This window comes from Homo sapiens, chromosome 4, assembly GCF_000001405.40.
Source record: "Homo sapiens chromosome 4, GRCh38.p14 Primary Assembly".
In the NCBI taxonomy this organism is placed as follows: Eukaryota; Metazoa; Chordata; class Mammalia; order Primates; family Hominidae; genus Homo; species Homo sapiens.
The window spans coordinates 37609994-37633479 of NC_000004.12; the positions used below are offsets into that span (position 1 = coordinate 37609994).

General features: G+C 41.1%; 1 protein-coding gene across 9 annotated transcripts in view, besides 1 other annotated feature; it reads right to left on the reverse strand.

The window, feature by feature from the left end:
• Positions 1 to 23486, reverse strand: part of RELL1 (RELT like 1) — a 100073-nt gene that overhangs the window by 23690 nt on the left and 52897 nt on the right. For 7 of the 9 annotated variants that reach the window (XR_007057961.1, XR_007057960.1, XR_007057958.1 and 4 more), the window contains exon 6: positions 21392 to 21530. Coding sequence is in view for 3 of the 9 variants with exons in the window: in NM_001085399.2 (NP_001078868.1) it covers positions 21395 to 21530 (136 nt within the window). In the remaining 6 variants the exon portion in view is untranslated. Of the gene's footprint in view, positions 1 to 640; positions 3350 to 21391; positions 21531 to 23486 lie in introns of those variants that run through there. The other 2 variants (NM_001085400.2, XM_017008590.3) reach the window with 1 other exon arrangement.
• Positions 22404 to 22453: an enhancer, noted in NCBI's record as "active region_21414". NCBI's record gives its function as "activates an Ori minimal core promoter by ATAC-STARR-seq in GM12878 lymphoblastoid cells {active_cell/tissue: GM12878}" and the evidence as "EXISTENCE:reporter gene assay evidence [ECO:0000049][PMID:35858748]".

Below are 23486 nucleotides of genomic sequence, written 5' to 3' on the forward strand. Positions count from 1 at the left end.
AATTTTGAAAGATGTTCTACTGTGATAAAATGCTATCAAACAGTACTGCATGCTATAGAGAAAACTTTCATGAAAGGTGAGGTCAATCAGTGCAGCAAACTTTATCACTGTGTTATTTTAAGAAATTGCCACAGCCACCCCAACCTTCAGTAACCACCACCCTGGTCAGTAGCCTTCAACATTGAGGCAAGATCCTGCAGCAGCAAAAAGATTATGACTTGCTGAAGGCTCAGATTATCGTATTTTTTTTTAGCAATAAAAAGTATTTTAAATTAAGGTATGTATGTTTTTTGACAGAATATTATTGCATATACTTAATAGACTATAGTATAGTATAAATATAACTTTTTTATATGCAGTGGGAAACCAAAAAGCTCATGTGGCTGGCTTGATTGCAATATTTGCTTTACTGCAGTAGGCCGGGGCTGAACCCACAGTATCTCCAAAGTATGCCTGTGTTAGGGGAAGGGGTACTGCAGGAGGGGAAATCTCATGAGGAAAGTCAGCCAAGTGATCACTTGATATTTCAAGACACAAGAAATTCAGCACTGTAAAAAATTAAGCTCAATAATTATACTGCCACGACTGTATTTCCAGTGTACAAGGCGCCAATAATTGGATCACCCACAAGACAACACACTGCGTTTAACATTTTTATTTTTAACTCCGCTTTGGTAGTACAAAAGTCATAAAAGTACAAACCAGACAGTTAAAAATACACTTGACACTCGAAATGGTGAAAATTTTCCTTACAAATTTTTACATCAAGGTAGTAGCCAACTCATTGATGACACCAAAAAGTTGTCCATCATTAGTGTTTTCTAGAGAAAGTCTGTTGTGGATTCCCTCATCCTTAGAAAGGAGGAGGAGTAACACAAGACCTGTAAACATCAGTTGCTTTGGGAACACAGGAATTCTCATCAGATAGTTCAGTATAAACCAGTAAAAAGCGTATGTGTTGAAAATACTGAACGCTTAATTTTGGCAAATTTGGAAGCCTGCCAGACAAAAACCGCTCAAGTATTTATTAGAAAATATTTAAAACATACTCTTGGTATCAATACAGTTTTAAATATTTTTGAGTATTCTCTTGCCTGTTGTATTGCTATTTAAAAAAAAGTGCTCTGACTTGAATAAGATGGAAAAATAATTAAAGCTAAAGAATATCTTACATTTTATCCCCCACCATTTTGAGGGCATATTTTTAAAGCAAAAAAGTATGCTTATTTGTTTTTAATTAAAATGATTAGCCTAGACTGCACATATATTATTTACACTAATACATACCCCTAAAAGTCCTATATTGCTACTTTCTGGATCTCAGTGAAATTTATTTCCATACTGACTTTCTCCAGTCCACAGTGTATATGAATATGTACACATACAGTGTTTATTAGTTGTCAGTAAAAATTCTCATGAAACTAAATTCCCCATTTATTTAAAAGGTTAGAAATGTTTAGTTTGATGCTGGAAATAAAATCATTGAAGTCTATGTACAGTAAATACTTTGAAGTATATTTTTATGGAAATCATCTTTTGGGAGACAAATGAAAGATGTGCATTTTCCTATATGAAATAAAAGAAGTGCTCAAGGCACCCCCCAACACTGACATGGAGGCGGGTCTTGGAGACCTTGTAACTGGCCTCCCCCACAGCTCACCCCAGAGCTACCATAAATCATGTAATACTATTTATGCCTCTGGGTCCTTTCAGGTGTTTTGTAAAATGTACAGTTATAAAAAAAAAAAAGAAAAAGAAAAGTTTGCCAGGCCTAAAGGGAAAAGTAACTGGAGTGTTTTAAATAATGAGCATTAGTTACAGGATGAAAAACAGGAAATACACAAAGAAAAACATGCCAGAGGTAGGTGCAGGCCCATCTTATATGAGAAGCAGGGTTCTAGGCCGGGCGCAGTGGCTCAAGCCTGTAATCCCAGAACTTTGGGAGGCCGAGGCGGGTGGATCACGAGGTCAGGAGATCGAGACCATCTTCGCTAATGCGGTGAAACCCCGTCTCTCCTAAAAATACAAAAAAAATAAGCCAAGCGTGGTGGTGGGCACCTGTAGTCCCAGCTACTCAGGAGGCTGAGGCAGGAGAATGGCGTGAACTCAGAAGGTGGAGCTTGCAGTGAGCTGAGATCGTGCCACTGCACTCCAGCCTGGGCGACAGAGCGAGACTCCGCCTCAAAAAAAAAAAAAAAAAAAAAAAAAGAGAGAAGCAGGGTTCTTTTGTTTTGGCCTTGGGTTGTCCAAACAAATTTGTGTGTGTGTGACTTTCAACCATTTTCTCCTTTATTCAATGGATTAACCAAGAATCGCTCAGCTAAAGGTTAAAAAAAAAAAAAAAACAAAAAAAAACAAAAAACCGGGTGCAGTGGCCCACGCCTATATTCCCAGCACTTTGGGAGGCCGAGGCGGGTAGATCGCCTGAGGTCAGGAGTTCAAGACCAGCCTGACCAATATAGTGATACCCCGTCTCTACTAAAAATACAAAAATTAGTCGAGCGTGGTGGTGCATGCCTGTAATCCCAGCTACTTGGGAGGCTGAGGCAGGAGAATCGCTTGAACCTGGGGAGGTGGAGATTGAGGTGAGTGGAGATTGTGCCACTGCACTCCAGCCTAGGGGACACAGCGAGACTCTGCCTCAAAAAAAAAAAAAAAAAAACCTTCTCAAAATGTGTAAGTGCTGTAGGAGTGACATGGTGGTGGCAGGAGTTAATGCTGAATTTGTGGTCAAGGAATCCAAAGTCTAGCATCTGGTCCCATCTGACTCCATGGTCCCTTGGGGAATCAACTCCTCAGGGCTAACTAGATTATTTCCACTGAGCTTTTACCACTGAAGATTCATCTTTTATCTTTTGTAACAGCTAACCTGTATGTATCAAGATCTTCTTACAACCAGTGTCAAAATAGGATGCAGGAACTGGAAAAAGAAACACACACTCACGTGCACACATGCATACACATATACACACACACCCCTGAGCATAAGCTCAGACTGTACATGAATAGTATCACTGCACATACTCATCATAATGGAAAAACTACAGTGTGTACACCAAGGCCTGGGATTAGGGGCTGGGAAGAGTAGAGGCTGGGAGTGGTTAAGAAGATAAAAACAGCTCTTTCCTTCCCTGGAAGTATAATAAAATTTTCAACAGACTCTTTCAACCAAAACTTGTTTCAAAGCAAACTGAATTCTGTATATGGCACAGCAATAATATTCCCTTTTAGGTTTTATCCACGTGCCTGCTGACTCCATGATAGAAACTGTATAAAATATATAAAAATATTCCCAAGGCAACTTCATATAAGTTTTCAGTCTCTTAGAGCTCTTCAAGTCAAGTCATTGCTGCAAGAGAAAACAAAAAATGTAGATCTTTAACCAAGGGTAAGCATCATATCACATATTAATCTGCCTGAATATTTAAAAACACAGAAGAATTATAATCTATTCTTACCCTGTCCCATCCCATCCCACCCCATTCCTTCTACCACTGTACATTTTTTTCTAGAATTCAGGCTAAAGAAATTTAAGTAAAATATAATTAATTCCAAGAGTTCTCTCGAGATCTGGCTGTTTAAATGTATGTGCCCCTCCCCCTTTCTCTCTCTTGCTCCTGCTTTTCCCATGTGATGTGCCTTCAATAGGTGTCTTTCTAAAGCCCCACCAAAGCCAGTTCACTGGAAGTCTCTACTGACCATCCAAGACAGCACGGTTGGGATTTCAAGTAAGAACACAATGATTAAATATTCCATCTTAGGTCTTTATTGTACCTTCAGGGTTCTGGATTGTATTTTTAAGTCATTCTAACAACTGGCCCTTGTCAATGTCTACGTTTACATCACAAACAAAGGCCCATACTTGTAAAATAGCTCCCTGCTTTTCAAATGACTTTCTATAACTATCTCATTTAATGAACAGCTCTGTGACTTTTTACTTTCCTGTTTTACAGACTGGCATAACCCAGGACAGGACTAAAATTATAGAGCTCCCCGTGTATGCTGAAATACACATACCATGCAGGTGAACCCACACAAGGTTAAGGAACGAAACGTTCTCCCACCTGCCAAAATCATGTGTACCCTATAAACACTAAACAAAACCAGAGATAGACCCAGCTTGCAGAAATATGAAGAAATAGCATGAAGTTGCTAGAAGTGTTTTGAAGAACATACTTTTTACTTATTTTACAGCTTGTCCTTCAAGATATGTACCTTATTATTATCTATGTTATCCTCTTCTGTCATTTGGTCATCCATAATATTCAATGGTATATTCAATATAATATTCATTTGGTCAACCATAATATTCAATATTATATTCAATATAATATTCAAAGAGAATAGAGACAGAGCACAAGAGGAAGAATGAGGGAGACAGACAGAAAGAAAGAGATTTATTTCCCAAATGAGATGATGAGTAAAGGACCTTTATCCCCTTAGCTAAAAAGGAAACACTGTCCAATAAAACAGCATGGATCAAGTTTTTAATTCTAATGAAATACGTAATACCCTGCACTGAATTGCCAAAACTGTACAAGAACTGCAGATTTTTACTGTAAAACTGAACAAAGTCAAGTCTGGAACTACTTTCAGGTAGGTGTCAATTCATATAAACATTCTAGCAGAGGGGGAAAAAAGGTAGAAAGGCCAGAGGTAGAGACATATAAAAATGGCCCTAAAAAAAAAAAAAGGAAAAAATGAGAGGGAATTTTCCAGGCAAAACCTTAAACTAGGCCATTATCTAGAAAACAGGTATGGTATTCCACTGTTTTTATGTCTCCTCTTTATGTGCTCCCTTAGAACTAGACATTTTTGCATCAAGGAAAATAACAACGTCAAAGGTGGGGGATGTCAGGCCTAGAAACTAATGTTTCATCACAGTAACAGTTTTCACTGCAACCTAGAAACACTCCTCATTTTGAGTGTTTTGCACAGATTTGACCGGCTTTAAGAACTGGGCATGCAAGAATACAGGCTAAGCTAAAAAGGAGGGGCCTGGATTCAAATCCAGACCCCTACTCCCAGCCGTGGAACCGTGGCTGTTTCTGTAGCATTCTCTCCTAGGGTTACTGGGGATTTGACATGAGATGATCCTATGCACAACGCTTAATACGAGGAAAAGCAATCAGTATGCTCCGAAAGGTTAACTATTCTGGTCATTACCATCATCCAATTCTCTGCTCTCAACAATCACATTAGCTTTCTTCAACAGCTGCCTTCTGCAGCTGATAAAAACTGCACTATCTGTAATATCTTTGAGAGAGGAAGTAAAAAATACAAATCACTGCTTAAAGTCCTCACTGCTAATACCAGAAACTAAGCAGAAAAGGGAAAGCTAATCTTATTAAAACCCTTGCAGTTCTGGTCTCTAATTACAAACACACATTTATTAGAAGGTAGCACATTACTGGCACAACACTATGACCTTCCAGGTATTTCTTTAACCCAGAACAATAATAAAAGTGTTACAAGGTGCCTTCCATATTGTCCTGCAGCAGTCAGAAATCATGTGTGGGTGGGCACAGAGACACCAGAAAGGCTAACAGGAGTGGGTGAGAGAGGAAACACCCACCCACTCACTGTTCCCAGTTGCCATCACATGGGACCACACCACACTGAGCAAGCCTGGCCTATCTCTCTTCGGGAGAAATTTTGTGATGACAGTTTACACAAGTGAGTACTCAAGCTGGAAAAAATTAAGCGAAGTTCCATTACATGGAAAACAGAATTCAGAAATCCCAAAGTGTAACCATTTTGCTTATAAAACAAGACTGATGGATAAAAATTAAGAACCGCCCAGAAGATTTATCTGGAACAAAGGAAGAGGTTGTCTTTTTCTTTAGAGTTTATTGCTTATGACATAATCTTATAAAGATAAAGCCATAATCCTCTCATTATACTATGGGTCCACGGAAGCTGCCATATGTCTCTGATTAGGATATACATACAAATATCTATGCCTTGTTAAAAAGGATTCTCTAGAAAAAAAAAAGAAATTGATCCCTTTAAAAATTAGAAACATGTTATAAGAAACTAGGAGCCTAAGCGGATTAATGAACAGTAAATGCTAAAATCTCTAAGTGTAGGATGTTAAGGAAGAAAAAGTCTATCTGATTAATAATAACAGCACTGGCATTTGCAGAGCACTTTCTCTGTGCCAGGTACTGTCATGCTAAGCACTCTAGGGTCATTAACTCAATCTTCCCGATGACTCCATAAGTCAATGATTCCTATTTTCATAGGAGGAAACTGAGGCTTCCAGGTTCAATAATTTACCAAAGGCCACACAATTAGTAACGGGAAAGTAGGAAATCCATCCCAGGCAGTAAGACCTGGAAGACCACAAAGCTACCTCCATGCTGCACTGCTATCCAGTCACCCCGGACACACCCACAGCATCACTGGAATCCTCTGGTACCCTCGCTTCTCTGCTCCCCACCTGTGTGGCAGGCAACAGAAAGGAAATGCAGAAACTAGAAATGCTGCCAGGGTCTCTCTCAGGGGAAATCACTGTGGTTGCATGAACAGTTAAATGATGCTAAAAACCTATACTTTAAAGGGGCCCAGTCCCTGGGAAGATCAAAAGTATACACCTACACAACACTGAATTCTGATCTCATTCTAAGACAAGGCTATGGAACCACACAGTCGGATTAATAATTCTCTTGACCACTTTTAAATAAAATAAATAGAGAACGTTGTTTATAGAGCTACATGACAGCAATATTAACACTGAAGTCCCGGAGCTACATTTAAGTGATCAATCACTAATAATCTGTGCTCCTTTAAGGCTCACACTTCTTAGTTAGAGATTTATCTTGTTCCAGGCTCTACTGACCATTCTGCAGTTACACGCTTGCAGGTTATGATGGCTGTGCATGTGACACCATGGTCCTGCAATGGTACTGCCTGCGTAGATCGGCATCTTGGCAGATATCGATTAATGGAATCACATCACAGAGTATTCAGTGCTTATAGTCCTTTAAATCTTGCTCTGGTCTAAATTGTGTGTTAAATTTTATAAATTAACACGGATACCTTCTTATTTTAATAAAGGCTCTTGTTTAACAAACCCAATAGATTCATGCTAATCTAGGCTAATCCATGCAATCTTTTAAAATCAGTGTTTCCCAGAATGATCAGCAGAACCTGCTTTAGAATCGGCTTAAATATTACCAAAAACTTCAGATTCCTTGGGCCTCTCCCTGAGACCTACTAAATCAGAGTCTACGGGGTTGCAGTCCAGGACTCTGCTTTCCTATAAGGTGCTTCATTGATTCTAATGCACGTATGAAGGTTTAAGCTTTTAGGTAAGACCCAGTACTAATGTTTTTCAACTGATTAAAAACAGCAAGAATTAAATCCGCTTCCAAAGGGTAAACCCTGCAAACACAACACTATAAAGTCAGCGGAGGTCAAAAAATACATCTCAGAAATGGGGGCGAAAACAAGTATGACAAAATCACTTAAAGACTGAAATATTAATTAAAAACTTCAGTAACTTGGCCAGGCATGGTAGCTCATGCCTATAATCCCAGCACTTTGGGAGGCCAAGGTGGGCAGATCACTTGAGGTCAGGAGTTCGAGACCAGCCTGGCCAACATGGTGAAACCACGTCTCTACTAAAAATACAAAAATTAGCTGGGCATGATGACGCATGCCTGTAGTCCCAGCTACTTGGGAGGCTGAGGCAATAGAATCGCTTGAACCTGGGAAGCAGAGGCTGCAGTGAGCCGAGATTGCACCACTGTACTCCAGCCTGTGTGACAGAGTGAGACTCCGTCTCAAAACAAAACAAAACAAAAAATCAGTAACTCAATTTTAAAATTACAGAATCTGTTTTTAAATGTATTTCAAAGTAGTTGGGAACTAGAATTCGACTAATTTGCAGAGGGCTCTTGTAATGATGAGATGAATGCCATATTATCACACCTGTTAAGGAATCACTGAGGGCCAACTATGTACAAGATGCCAAGATGCCACCTAAAGTCTCAGCAAAGGATGAGAAGACACCATCCAAAGGCACTGCCCAAGTCCTGAAGGAGCTTAGTGTATGCAGGGAGGAAGCTTAAACAATCAGCTTCGACGCAAGAAAAACTGAGCCATGCTGCATATCATTTTTAAACACAACTGGAATATTTTATAACTTGTTTTTTTCATCTAATAATATACAGTAGATGCTCTGTGTCTGTACATATAACTCTACATCAATCTTTTTTTCTTTTTTTTTAAGAGACAGGGTCTCACTCTGTTGCCCAGGCTGGAGTACAGTGGCACAATCATGGCTTGCTGGAACCTCGAACTCCTGGGCTTAAGTCATGGAGTTCAAGCTACCACTTTATCCTCCCATGTAGCTGGGACTACAGGTGCATGCCACCCTACTCAGCTAATTTTTTATTTTTTTTTATTTATTTATTTTTTTAAGTAGAGACAGGGTCACTATGTTGCCCAGGCTGATCTCAAACTTCTGGCTTCAAGCAGTCCTCCAGCCTCAGCCTCCCGAACTGCTGGGATTACAGGTATGAGCTATCACACCCAGCATCTACTTCAATCTTTGGCATTTGCAGGCCATTATGAAATGCATAAGGCACAATTCATTTACTTAATCTCCCATTGATAGATGTATTTAAAGATGCTTCCAGGTACTTGCTACTATGTAAATAATGCTAAAGTGAACAACTTTGGACATTATCTTTGCATTTATGCATGATATTTATTAATTGGAATAATTTGGTCAAAGAGTACATATTTAAGTTTTTACAGTTCCAGATTGCCACCACAAAGGTCTAGACCATTGTAGCCTCCTGCTTTGGTGTGGGATAATGTCCATCTCCCTGCACCCTCTTGATTTTTGTTTGGTTGGTTGGTCGTTTTTCTTTTCTTTTCTTTTCTTTTCTTTTGAGACGGAGTTTCGCTCTCGTTGCCCAGGCTGGAGTGCAATGGTGTGATCTCGTCTCACTGCAACCTCCGCCTCCCGGGTTCAAGTGATTCTCCTGCCTCAGCATCCCGAGTAGGTGGGATTACAGGCATGCGCCACCACCCCCAGCTATTTTTGTATTTTTAATAGAGATGGGGTTTCTCCATGTTAGTCAGGCTGGTCTTGAATTCCCAACCTCAGGTGATCTACCTGCCTCAGCCTCCCAAAGTGCTGGGATCACAGGCGTGAGCCACTGCACCCACCTCCCTGCACCACATTTTTTTTTTTAGAAGGAGCCTCGCTCTGTCACCCGGGCTGGAGTGCAGTGGCGCAATCTCGGCTCACTGCAACCTCCGCCTCCCAAGTTCGAGCGATTCTCCTGCCTTAGCCTCCCGAGTAGCTGGGACTACAGGCGTGCGGCATCACACCTGGCTAATTTTTGTATTTTTAGTAGAGTCGGGGTTTCACCATATTGGCCAGGGTGGTCTTGAACTCCTGACCTCGTGATCCACCTGCGTCAGCCTCCCAAAGTGCTGGGATTACAGGCGTGAGCCACCGCACCCAGCCCCTGCACCCTTTTAACCAAGGTGACCACATGAACCAGTTTGCCTGGGAGGTCTTGGTTTATATATGTTTACCCAGAATAATTATTCACAGTGTTCCCTTTTATTCTCTGCAGAGTCTCTCTCTGTCACCCAGGCTGGAATGCAGTGGCATGATCCTGACTCACTACAGCCTCCAACTACTGAGCTCAAGAAATCCTTCCACCTCAGCCTCCCAAGTAGCTGGGACTACAGGTGTATGCCACATGCCCAGCTAATTTTTTAATTTTTAATTTGCAGAGACAGGATCTCACTATGTTGCCCAGGCTGGTCTCAAACTCCTGGCCTCGAGCCATCCTCCCACCTCAGCCTCCCAAAGCACTGGGATTACAGGTGTGAGCTACCTCCTCATTTTGGATGTGAGTTATATGGTCATGCTAGTGTTAACATTCATCTTTGTCACCAGAGAAGCAAAAAGTGATCTCAGTTTGGATTTATTTCATTATTAGTAAAGTTGGGCATTTTTTATGTTTATTGACTACTACATCTTCCATGAGTTGCATATTATAACCCCCAATTTGAGAAGGGGGCTTAATAACTAAAACCTTAATTTTTTAATATCAATAGTGAGAAGCTTTCTATGTATGTGGGTCAATTCAGGAAAAATAATGTTTCTAGGTGTGTTTCTCCATTCAAAATAGAAATCACTTTTTTTAACTAGCATAGACAGAAATGTATATTCCTGCAAATTATATTATCTTCTTTGTTGAATAATACCAGTGAGAAATTTTGCATTCCTTACAGTTTTGAATCTTCTGACATTAGATTTAGATCTGAAGTCTGAAGGTTGTTCTTTACTGGGTTATATTCTCACAGCAATTTCAACATACTTATATATTTAGCAACAATGGGTTTCCCAAGTGACAGCAACTGAACACTTGTGATTTACCAGCCTTTGAGATGGTAGAATCAGAGCACCTTATTCCAAGTAAAATGTAACTGACATCAAAAGTTATTCTGTACCTGGAAAAACAAGGATTCAACTGGAAATTATTTAAATGCAATTCAGCAGTTCCCTACTAGTCTCAACACACTTCTGATTTAATGTCTACACTAAGCTACAGGCAGAATAACTTATTACTCTGAATAGTACCATCTCTTTCTAATAAGGAAAATGGAACAAGTTAGATATTGCCTCTCTACTGGCTTGTGAGCTAGACAGAGTTCAGCTAACTGGCCTTCAGTAAGCCTCCACTTGAATATCAAATGGACAATACTGCTATTACCTTATAGGTTATGTCTAACCTGGCCTCTATGAGCTTCAAGAGAATCAAGAAATATCAAAAACATTAATTTTAACACTTTTATTGGCTACATGTTTAAATAGGGCTGATCCGATATAGTAATTTAACACCTAACCTATTTTGTACTTACTTAGGGCAAAGGAACAGTATCCCTACGAAGTAGTAGTAGTATTATTATCCCCACTTAACAGATGGAGAAGCTGGGGCATCAGAGGCTAAGTAATTTGCCCAAAGCTAGATAGCTAAAAAGTGACAGCCAAGATCTTGAGCGCAAGAAGTCTGATTCCAGAACCTCTATGGTGGAACCACTACAGTATCCTATGTCCTGTTACTTACAGAAAATAGGTACTGTTTTAACTTAAGCTATTTAATGTTAGTAGAACTCAAGGTCTCAAGGCACAAATTAAGAAAAATCGGCCAGGCGCGGTGGCTTACGCCTGTAATCCCAGCACTTTCGGAGGCCGAGGCAGGCAGATCACAAGATCAGGAGATCAAGACCATCCTGGCTAGTATAGCAAAACCTCTTCTCTACTAAAAATACAAAAAATCAGCCAGGCGTGGTGGTGGGCACCTGCAGTCCTAGCTACTCGGGAGGCTGAGACAGGAGAATGGCGTGAACCTGGGAGGCAGAGCTTGCAGTGAGCCAAGATCGCGCCACTGCACTCCAGCCTGGGGGACAGAGCAAGACTCCATCTCAAAAAATAATAATAATAATAAAATAAGGAAAAAAATAAAGAAAAATAAAAATCCTGATTATAACCATTAATTCCATTTTCTTTCTAATTATAGGTAAAAATGTCTCCGAAAGCCTTTCATTTTCCGCTTCCCTCAAGCCCCCTTGGGTCTGTCTTTAGGCCCTCCAAAGTCTCTAGCCTCCAACACTGCTCAATTTCTGCAGTGAAAAGAGCAGATGTCAAACAGGTGATAGGGATAAAGAGGAAGAACAGATAAGCTCTCCTTCAGTGGGTCAACTCCTGGTCAACAATAGGAAGGGGCCCTGGGGCAGGCCCCTGCCCAGGGAGATATGTGTTAGGAGGAGATGGCTTGCTTTGGTGGCAACTCAAAGCAAAACAAATCAAAAATTCCTGGTCACCCATGTTGTCTAAACTCTGGGAATACTAATAAATATGTTTTAGTATCTCCTGTGCACAGAACAAGGCCATGGAAGAATAACTTAGAAAAAACATCATAGTTGATGACAGTAAAGCATGTTTTTAGGTCCACTCAAAAACTCCCAGATCATGGCCATAAATGTACTGGAGCCACTCCCAACAACTGAGGACAAATAGGGCATATAGCTTTTTAACTGTGTCTACCATTTTCACTCCTTATGGCTCAGTCAATGTGGGAGAGTAAAAGCTGGTTCTTCCTCAGTCATTTGTGAGTAAGACAAAATCTCAACAGTCAGGGAACCACAGAACCTAAAAATCACTAACTTCAATAAAAAACAAGGTATGAACAAGTGTAGTATCTATACTCTCATTTGTAGAAGGGCAAAAGGAGGGGCTTTATATACACAGATATATTGCATAAGCATGTATATGCACAGCATAATCCTGAAAGGACATAGTGAACACTGATCACACTGGTGTCCTCTTGAGAAAAGGTTTAAGAGGTGATACACGCAAAGGGATTAGCAGGATAAAAATGGAGCAAAGATTTATTTTTGGGATTTATTTTTCACCCTGCAGACTTTTAGGCTGTTTAAATATTTTATCCTATGCATTTCTTATATTTCAGTTCTTTTTTAAAAATTCCATTTCAAACACTTGTAATATCCAATACACTGGAGACAGTAAAGGAATGAGCTATAAGGAAGCCCAGGTCCTGGCTCCGTAATGAACTCTCGGCATGATCTTGAACAACACATGTAACAACACACACTAAACAAGGGGACTGGGAGGTGCAGGGGAGAAAAGTCTGGTATAAGCACTAGGATAGAAGCTCTGTAAGAGTATGGTCTTCATTGTCTGTCTGACACACTGCCACATCCCTAAACACAGCAAACTGCCTGGCACATAGTAGGGTCTCAAGTAATGCTTTTTTTTTTTTTTTTTTTTCTGAGACAGAGTCTTGCTGTTGTCACCCCGGCTGAAGTGCAGTGGCATGATCTCGGCTCACGGCAACCTCTGCCTCCCGGGTTCAACTGACTCTCCTGCCTCAGCCTCCCGAGTAGCTGGGACTACAGGTGCCCGCCACCATGCCTACCTAATTTTTGTATTTTTAGTAGAGATGGGGTTTCACCGTGTTGTCCAGGCTGGTCTCGAACTCCTGACCTCATGATCTGCCCACCTTGGCCTCCCAAAGTGCTGAGATTACAGGTGTGAGCCACCGCACCCGGCCAAGAAATACTTTTTAAAGATATAATTGTACCTCCATTGATCTGAACTAGCAATCACAGCTGCTCTGGAGTCTGCAAGTCTATGACCTTCATCTACCTGGAAGAAAACTGAATGGCTCACACACCTGGACCTGATCCAGACAGAGCCTTAAAATCCATCAGCTGCTCATCAGATGATCCCATCGGATGCCAAGGAGGCCATCCAAAGGCTGGAATGATCAGTTCTGTGAGCTATTGAGCTATGTGAAGAAACGGCGGTTGATTTGCTTTCTTGCCAAGAAAAGCAAAGCTCCCTCACACTCCACGGCCACTGAGCATGTAAGCTCCCAAGTATAAATTTCTTCCCATCCAAGCCCTCTCACTACCTAGCCCTGAGATATGGGGAACATTAATCCCTCTAAGCCTGGCTCTTCATCTGTAAAATAGGATATTATTACCTACAACTCCTAAAATTGCTTCTAAAGTCCCATCCTTCACTCAGCTTTTCTCTTCATCTGGCCGGTTCTACCTACCTAGGCTTCACAGAGCAGGGCCTGGGCAGATGCTCACCTCCCTCCACCTCCACATTTCAGATGGACTCAGTGGGCTCAGTCTCCCACACAGGAGTACGGCAGGCATCACGGCACTACTTTTACCTTTGAGAAATGTGTTTAGCAACTGAAAACCAAGCCAGGTGGCCTAATCCATGCCTACTTTAGGTGCAGTTTCTTTTTATATTCTGTTGCCCCGTAAGACCAGTGAATCAAGTTAAAGGGTTCCCATCAAATCTGAGATCCTTTTGCTTTTTAAAAAAGATGCATTTTTTCCTGAAAAAATTACAGCTAGAGAGAAAAAAATAAACTAACTAGTAGTACCTGCAGTTTCTCATCATTAACTGCTTCCTGGAGAGTTAATAAAAGAAAAGCAATTGAGAGGACTGCAAATCAAGCAGTACGACTTCCGAGGGGGTCCCCAAGGAGCTTCTACTATAATTCCTGCCACAGAGTCCAAAAAAAGGAGCCAAGGAGCCTTTCCTCACTGTTAGAGGAGAACATGAAGGCGGCCGAAGGTCAGAAGAGCCACCTTGTGACCAGCCACAGATGCTCAGGAGGGAGTTTGAGCCATGAAAGAGTCTTGACAAAGAGGAGACTTTTATTCCAAAGCAGAACACCGGCACAGCAGTCACGCTTAGGCCGAAAACGTCTCTGTCCAGCATTTCAATTTATCCCACCCTCTGATTTTTATAATAAAAAGAACTTGTCAGCAAAACTTTTCCATCTCCTTGTTAGTAATTTTAATTCCACCTCTTGGAAGAAGGAAATGGTTCTTTCTTTCTTTCTTTTTTTTTTTTTTTTTTTGAGGCAGAGTCTCCCTCTGTCGCCCAGGCTGGAGTGCAGTGCAGTGTGCAATCTCGGCTCACTGCAACCTCCACCTCCCAGGTTCACGCCATTCTCCTGCCTCAGCCTCCAGAGTAGCTGGGACTACAGGCACCCGCCACCACGCCCGGCTAATTTTTTTTTTTGTATTTTTTAGTAGAGACGGGGTTTCACTGTGTTAGCCAGGATGGTCTCGATCTCCTGACCTCGTGATCCGCCCACCTCGGCCTCCCACAGTGCTGGGATTACAGGCGTGAGCCACCGCGCCCAGCCGGGAATGGTTATTTCTAAGGCCTCCTTAATGCAAACAAGAAAATGGCCCAAATTCCTAAGGGACTTGACAAATACTATCTATTTCTGAGATGTCCTGAGAGTCCAAAGCTGTAATGTTCTTAAGATGTAAAAAGGAATTCACAGTACCAAAAGCTGATGCTTCAGAAATGACCTAATAAATAATTAAGACCACCAGCCATGACAATTGTTAACAGCAGTGAATGTTTAGCAGATACTCTGTGCCAAGGATTGACTTATGAACTACACATATATCGTATCATGTATGTCCAGCAACGATCTCATTTTAAAGATGAAATAACCGGGGCTTGAAAACATTAAGTAACTTGCCCAAAACCATTGGTAGTTAAGTGGCACAATTAAAAGTAAGGAGTTTAAAACCCAGCTTTTAATCACTGAAATAAATTACTAAAATAAAAATCAATACAATAGTCTGAATAAAACAAAAATAAAAACAGATGTCTAATATTATGAATTTTTGTTTTGATAAAAGAAATGCTACTGTAATACTGCAATACTACTAGAAAAACACATAGGAGGAAAGTTCCATGACACTGATCTGGACAATGATTTTTTGATAAGATCCCAAAAGCGCAGGCAACAAAAATGGACAAATGGGATTTCATCAAACTAAAAAGCTTCTGCAGAGCAAAGCAATCAACAGAGTGAAGAGATAACTTATAAAATGGGAGAAAATATTTGCAAACCATACATCTTATAAATGGTTACTATCCAAAATATATAAGAAACACAAACAACTCAAAAGCAAGAAAACAAATAACCCAATTTAAAAATGGGGCAAAATGGGAAGGGAGGGTTGGGGAGATGATGGTCAAAGGACATAAAATTTCAATTAGGAGGAATAGGCCATCAAATCCAAATTTGAGCAAAAACCTCTTTCAGGAAAAATTACAACTCTAAAGACTGTATCAGAAATCTATTGCACAATATGGTGGCTACAGTTAATAACAATGTATTGTATTCTTGAAAAATGCTAAGAGAGATTTTAAATATCCTCACCACAAAAAAATGATAAATATATGATGTAATACATATGTCAATCAGCTCAATTTAGCCATTCCATAATGTATGCATGTTTCAAAACAACATGTCGTACATAATAAATATAGATAATTTTTGTCAATAAAAATAAATAAAATGTTAAAAAAATTGTAATGGGCAAAGATTCTAAATAGAAATTTCTCAAAAGAAGACCTACAAATGGCCAACAAATATATGAAAAAAAGGCTCAACATTACTAATCATCATGGAAATATAAATTAAAACTATAATGAGATAATACCTCACACCTGTTAGAATGACAATTATAAAAAAAGTGCTGATGGGGATGTGGAGAAAAAGAAATTCTTGCATACTGTTAGTGGGAATATACATTATTACAGTCATCATGGAAAACAGTACGCAGGTCACTAACAAAAATTAAAAATAGACCGGGCACAGTGGCTTGCACCTGTAATCCAAGCACTTTGGGAGGCCGAGGCAGGTGGATCACTTGAGATCAGGAGTTCAAGATCAGCCTGGCCAACATGATGAAACCCTGTCTCTCCTAAAAATACAAAAGTTAGCCAGGTGTGGTGGCTTGCATCTGCAATCCCAGCTACTCAGGAGGCTGTGGCAGGAGAATCGTCTGAACCCGGGAGGCAGAGGCTGCAGTGAGCCGAGATTGTCCCACTGCATTGCAACCTGGGCGAGAGTGAGACTCTGTCTCAGAAAACAAACAAACAAATTAAAAATAGAACTACCATATGATCCAACAATCCCACTTCTCAGTACATATCCAGAGGTACTGAAATCAGTATGTCAAAGAGATATCTGTACTGCCATGTCCACTGCTGCATTATCCCAATAGCCAAGATATGGAATCTTCCTAAGAGTCCCTGAACATATGAATGAATAAAATGTAGTATAGATACATAATGAAACACTGTTCGGCCAGAAAAAAAGAAGGAAATCCTGTCATTGAAGATAAAATGGATAAACCTGGAGCACATTACATTGAGTGAAATAAGCCAGGCACAGAACGACAAATACCACGTCATCTCACTTACATGTGGAATCTAAAAAAAGTTGAACTCATAGAAGCAGAGAGAAGAAAGGTGGTTAGAGGTAGGGGCGGGGGAGGGGTTGGTCAAAAGACACAAAATTTTAGTTAGAGGGGATAAATAATTTCAAGAGATCTATTGTACAACATGGTGACTGCAGTTAATAACAATGTATCATATTCTTAAAAATTGCTAAGAGAGTAGATTTGGAGTGTTCTCACCACGCAAAAAAATTATAAGTATGTGTGGCAATGCATACGTTCATTAGCTCAATTTAGCCATCGCAGTGTACACACATTTGAAAACATTACATTGCACATGATAAATATATGCAACTTTCATGTGTCCATTAAAATCTGATTAATTTTCAATAAAAAATTTTAAAGTATGGTTATGTAAACTTACTAAATCAATGTTTCCAACAGGACACTATCAGCGAATGGAACAAAAGAGGGCAGACTTCAGAAACATGCGACACAGAATGCTTAGGACAGGATCATTTTTAAAAAGCCAAAGACCAGTGACAATGAAGACAAGGCAGTGGCATTTGGAGGCTGAAAGCAATTCAATTTATTTAACTTTGAAGAACAAAAGCTTATTCTTCTCAGGAGAAACCAAAACACATTTTCTGCAGAAAAAAGACCATTTTAACCGCATTGCCAAAATAAATCAGGCAGAGGGCAAGAGGGCAAGTTAGATGTAGCCACAAACAAGAACTCAGACCAACAAAGCAGGGTTAGACGAATGGGGAGGCCATGCCCAACATCAGATTTGGGGTTTTAAAGGGAGAAGGAACCAGAAGGGAGAGAGAGAAATCCTGCCACAGTCTTGATAACATTCTATTTAGAATATAAGTTTAGTTTCTGGTAACAAACACCTTAAACAAAAGAAATAAAAAAAGAAACCTAACCAATAAGTGGATATGCATTTGTATTTGAATATTTGAGTCTGTTCTACAATAAAACAAAACATTGCAGTAAAATTGTTTGGCTAAAAATCCAAATTTGAGCAAAAACCTCTTTCAGGAAAAAATACAACTCTAAAGACTGTATCAGATTGTAGAAGAGACACATAGCACTCCTCTCCTGCTTCACTAGCTGCATTCCAGTGCAGATCTTCTGGCTTCGTCTAGAACCAGAGAGTCTGGCCCAGAAGTAAAATTTTCAGAATTTTTCTAGTTGGAAAATCAAGTCATGTTAAATGTCCCAAACATACTTTTTTTGGGGGGATGAGATTTGAAAAGAAAAAAAACTGCAAGAAAAATTTTAATGAATACATAATTTTTAAAACACCAATGAATATTCCCTTCCTTCCTTTTTCAGGGCCTATACTTCATTGGGGTAATCAGATAGGGCCACCCAGCAGGTCTCAATCTGAGCAGGCTCTACTCATGGGACCTGCTCGTCTTGGACCCAGTTGAATGAAGTCTGTGACACCTGAAGCAAGGCTGCCCAGGTTCAAGTCTAACTCTATCACATTCTTGCTGGTATCTCTAAACAAGTTGTTTAAACTCTCTGTGCTTAAGACCTTCATCTGCAAAATGGGGTACTAGCACCTATAGACTGCCGTGGCGAGGATTACAGAAATTAGCTAATACACGGAATGTGCCTTTCAAAGCATGCCCAAGTACAGAATACCCAAAAAACTGTAGGTATTATAATTAATTTACTCCATGGATCATGGACATCCATGATACTATTCTACTTTTGAGTTTAAAATTTTTCATAACGAAGAATTAATTTTTAATTTGAAAATCAATTACAACAAGTTGGAGGCTCGGAAAACACGTCACCCTTTGAAGGCCACTCGTGCTCATTGTGATTTGAGCAGCACAACACAATATGACTACCTTCTACTGAGAACCAACTACATTCCAGACTTTCTCTTGGCTCTTGGATTAAAACAATGAATTTAATACCTTATTTCACGTTCAAGGAAACCAGGGGTAGGGCAGTTAAGTACAATGTCCAAATTGTGAAGCTCAGATTTGCACCCATGTCTTCTGATCAAATCCAATCCTCGTTTATATAATCCTGTTGAATAACAGTGTGCTGTGCAGAGAATATCTCATTGTAAATCAGTTAAATGTGGTCAGGACTTCAGATGCTTGGACCAAATTTCTATAATCAGAATCAGACAGATTCGGGCCAAAAAAACCAGCTGAGCAATCCTAATTCCTTCTAACCTTCCCAGATCTAGAGTACCGCTCTCTGGGCAGTGGTGGCCAAAATCAGCCATGGCACTAGTTAGCCAAGCTCTAATCAGAGGTGAGTCTGACAAGAGGATCATCTTGCAGTTCCTAATCGAGGGCAAGCCAGGTCTTCTGGTGCAATCGGCTCCATCTCTCAACTCACTGCCCAGTTGATGACTCATACTCAGCCTGTCCTTATGACCCATACTTTCTTTGCAGCTAAGCTGGCTGGGCCTTCCTCACCTAAGACTTGAATAGCCAGATGCTTCTCTTCCCAGATAGCCAAGTCCTTCACTGACCTTAATCAGAATGCTCCTCTTTCCAGCTATATGACCTTCAACATGTAACTCACCTTTCCCATTCATCAGTTTCCTCATCTGTAAAACTATGATCATAGTACTAACCCCATTTGGAGAGGTTTATAATGATGACATGTGAGAAACACATCAGTACCATGCCTAGAAGACTAGAATATTGAATTAACGTTAGCTGCTGTTATTACCCATCTTCATCATCCTCTTCTTAAATTCCTCTTGACTCCCTTCCCTAAGGTCACCAGTAACTGGCTGAGAAGCCAATGGTAGACTTTTCTGTACTGTTTCTCTCTTTAAGAAGGCTCCTATTCTGCTCCTAAACTCAGGAAGAGACGCCAGATCTCCCCACAGGCAAAACCGCGAGGGCTAACTAACACTAGAAAATGATCAGAGTCCCTATGTCTCAGAAAATTTAGGTGCACAGAGTTGTTCCAGATTGCTTCCAGAGCACCTTCAACCCTCTGAGCCCGGCAGATTATCAGAGAAGCTTCACCCAAAAGCCACATCTCTCCTCCACTCAGCCACACCGACCAAAAATGAATGAATCACATGGTAATAATCAGTAGCATGGACGGAGCATTTCCCACGTGCCAGGCCCTGCCTTCACACGTGCAACTTCATGGAAATCTCACTCCCGCCCCTGAGGCAAAGAGCACCACTTCCAATTTCCAGTGAGGCATAGAAAGCTCAAGTATCTTGCCCAGGTCCCAGGGTTAGTGAGTGGCACACTGGAGCTTGAACCTGGCAGTCTGACTCCAGGGTTCATGTCAGTTTTGCTGTGTCCCTGCCTGACCTCTCCCCCATTGCCCGCCCTCCCTTCCCTATGTAAGTGTAAACTCTTCTGCCTTCATGTTCAGGCTCTGATGGTTCCATGGAGCACTTAGGGCATGATCCCTCCCAAATCGTCACCGTTGCTCTTTTACAAGGGATAAGAAACATGGAAAGGATAAATACCACTCAAGCCGGAACAGAAATAAAGGAGTTAAGATGAAAGTTAAGCCACTATCAATTTATCACAGGGTTCTGGTGCGTGTGTGTGTGGTTTTTTTTTTTTTTTTTTTTTTTTTTGAGACCGAGTCTCGCTCTGTCGCCCAGGCTGGAGTGCAGTGGCGTGATCTCGGCTCACTGCAAGCTCCGCCTCCCGGGTTCACGCCATTCTCCTGCCTCAGCCTCCTGAGTAGCTGGGACTACAGGTGCCCACCACTACGCCCGGCTACTTTTTTGTATTTTTTAGTAGAGACAGGGTTTCACCATGTTAGCCAGGATTGTCTCGATCTCCTGACCTCATGATCCGCCTGCCTCGGCCTCCCAAAGTGCTGGGATTACATGGGATTACAGGCGTGAGCCACCGTGCCCAGCTGCGTGTTGTTTTTTTTTTAAGCAGTGTCTTGCAAAATTAAAATTGCCAAATCAAGAAATAAATCACTGTGGCTTTTCAATTGCCTCAAAATATTTGGTGGGAAGAGAAATATTCGTATTGAGGTTTCAGAACTGTGACACAAAGAAAACTGGTTTCCAACAGAATAAAAGGAAAAAGCATTGGTTTGTTTGCTCCAGACTTTTTCAAGTCACAGTTTACCTAAAAATGGTGACAAGATTACAAGTCATTTGGCCTGCATGGTTGTTTAAAAAAAAAAAAGTAAGCTGCCAATATCGAAAATCAGTGATTTTACATTTTAGAAGTCTGGATTTTGTCTTTTTTTGCGTAAGAAGATGCAGCAACACTAGGTGCTTTCTGCCTCGTGGTAATGCAAGCCCTATATGGTGGGTGATGTGAATTCTAGTTTGCCACAATCCCCACCATGCCACATTGCCTCACAAGTAATCCTCTATCCTCATTATCACACAGGCCAAGCCCCTGGAGGCACTAAGTTTGTGACTTCTTTACAAGAAGCTCTAGGCAGACAAGTAATCATGTTCAGTCCCCCTCAGTCTTCCTGGGTCAAGGAAAGCTCTCCCACTTCCCTGTCAAATACCATTCCTATGCTGCCACAGCACCTGGGAGGCTCCAAGTACCTTCTCCTCACCCTGCACCACTCTGCCCCCAATGTCACCAAAACCACGGCTCACCTGCTACTCTGTGCCACTGCGTTCTCTCTTCACAGGTGTTGCCGGCACCTCCCCATTGACGGTTTCAGCCCCACTAACAGACATCAGGCTTCTCCGTTCCTTCTGGTTTGACTTGTGCTCCACTTTTGTAACTCTAAATCTGAGGGGGGAATGGGGAGAGGTGATGGGGTTTGCTTTTCTAATAAACAAGAATTATGAATAAAGCAAAAATCATCCACCCAGAGGATCTCAAATGAACTCAGCCAAAAGTTAGGACACAAATGAAAAACAACATATTCGAACATGCATTCCTATCCAGTACATTCCCCTGGCCCCTGCCCAACCTTCCAGCTGATTTCTACTCAGCCACATCACAGACTAAGCCGGATATTTTACAGAGCATGCAAAAGGCATTTAAAAACTCAGGTATTGGCCAGGCATGGTGGCTTATACCTGCAATCCCAGCAGCACTTTGGAAGGCTGAGGTGGGTGGATTGCTTGAGCCTAGGAATTTGAGACCAGACTGGGTGTATGGCAAAACTCTGTCTCTACAGAAATTACAAAAATTAGCCAGGTGTGGTGGTGTGCACTTGTAGTCCCAGCTACTCGGGAGGCTGAAGCAGGAGAATCACTTGAGCCCAGGAGCTGGAGGTTGCAGTGAGCCGAGATCACGTCATGCACTCCAGCCTGGGCAACAGAGCTAGACCCTGTCTCAATAAGGAAAAAAAAAAAAAAAAAAAAAAAAACACCTCAGAGACTCGAATATTAAACAGCGTCAGAGTTGTCGTTTCTAACAATGATCAGTTTTTTTGTTTATTTGTTTTCGAGACAGAGTTTCCCTCTTGCTGCCCAGACTGGAGTGCAGTGGTACAATCTCGGCTCACTGCAACCTCCACCTCCTGGGTTTAAGCGACTCTCCTGCCTCAGCCTCTCAAGTAGCTGGGATTACAGCCATGTGCCACCATGCCTGGCTAATTTTGTATTTTTAGTAGAGATGGAGTTTCACCATGTTGGCCAGGCCAGTCTCAAACTCCAACCTCAGGTGATCCACCTGCCTCAGCCTCCCAAAGTTTTGGGATTATAGGCGTGAGCCACCATGTCTGGCCTACATCAGTTTTTTTAACCACAGAAACCTGGTTAAATGCTCAACTGGTTTACAAATTAGACTGACGTAACCAGAATGTTTACCAGAAGATGACGAACTTCCGAAAATATGCAACTGTCAGGCAGTCCTATCTCAACACACACACGCACACACATGCTCTCACACATATGCAGAAAATCTGAAGAGCCCTAGAAACACATTTTATCAGCATTAGGGTTTGAGAGTAAGCCTTTAAAAAAAATGGGTTAATTTTCATTATAGATTAAGGAAAAACTAAAGGAAGTTAAGGAAGAGATTTTCATTAAGAATTAAGAGTTAAATAAATGTATTCAGTTTAACTGTTTTTTCTAGTATATCATCACCAAATCCTAGAGTCTTTCATAACAGCTTCTTTCTAGTTCTGGTCTTAATTTCCCTTAAAAATTATCTGAAATAAATTCTCCTTCTGTGTCCAAAATAAGATCACCAACCCTGAAGAGAAGGCTCTGAAGAAGTGAAAGAAATAACAGGGAAACTGTAAACACAAATCTATTCTGTCAAACTGTAAGACTCTCTTAAGTAATACATGCTGAAAAACAGCCTGGAATCATTAAGCGCTCCTAGTATCCAATATCCAAGAAAGAGAGTTGGATTTGGGGCATTTTAAAAAGCCATGTTTGGCCAGGCACGGTGGCTTACACCTGTAATCCCAACACTTTGGGAGGCCAAGACAGGTGGATCACTTGAGGTCAGGAGTTCGAGACCAGCCTGGCCAACTTGGTGAAACCCCGTCTCTCCTAAAAATACAAAAATTAGCCAGGCATGGTGGCGGGCACCTGCAGTCCCAGCTACTCGGGAGGCTGAGGCACGACAATCGTTTGAGCCCAGGAGGCAGAGGCTGCAGTGAGCCGAGTTCACACCACTGCACTCCAGCTTGGGTGACAGAGTGAGACTCCACCTCAAAAAAAAAAAAAAAAAAAAAAAAAAAAAAAAAAAAAAGGCATGTTGAATCTGAGTTGAAAATTTCAGCAG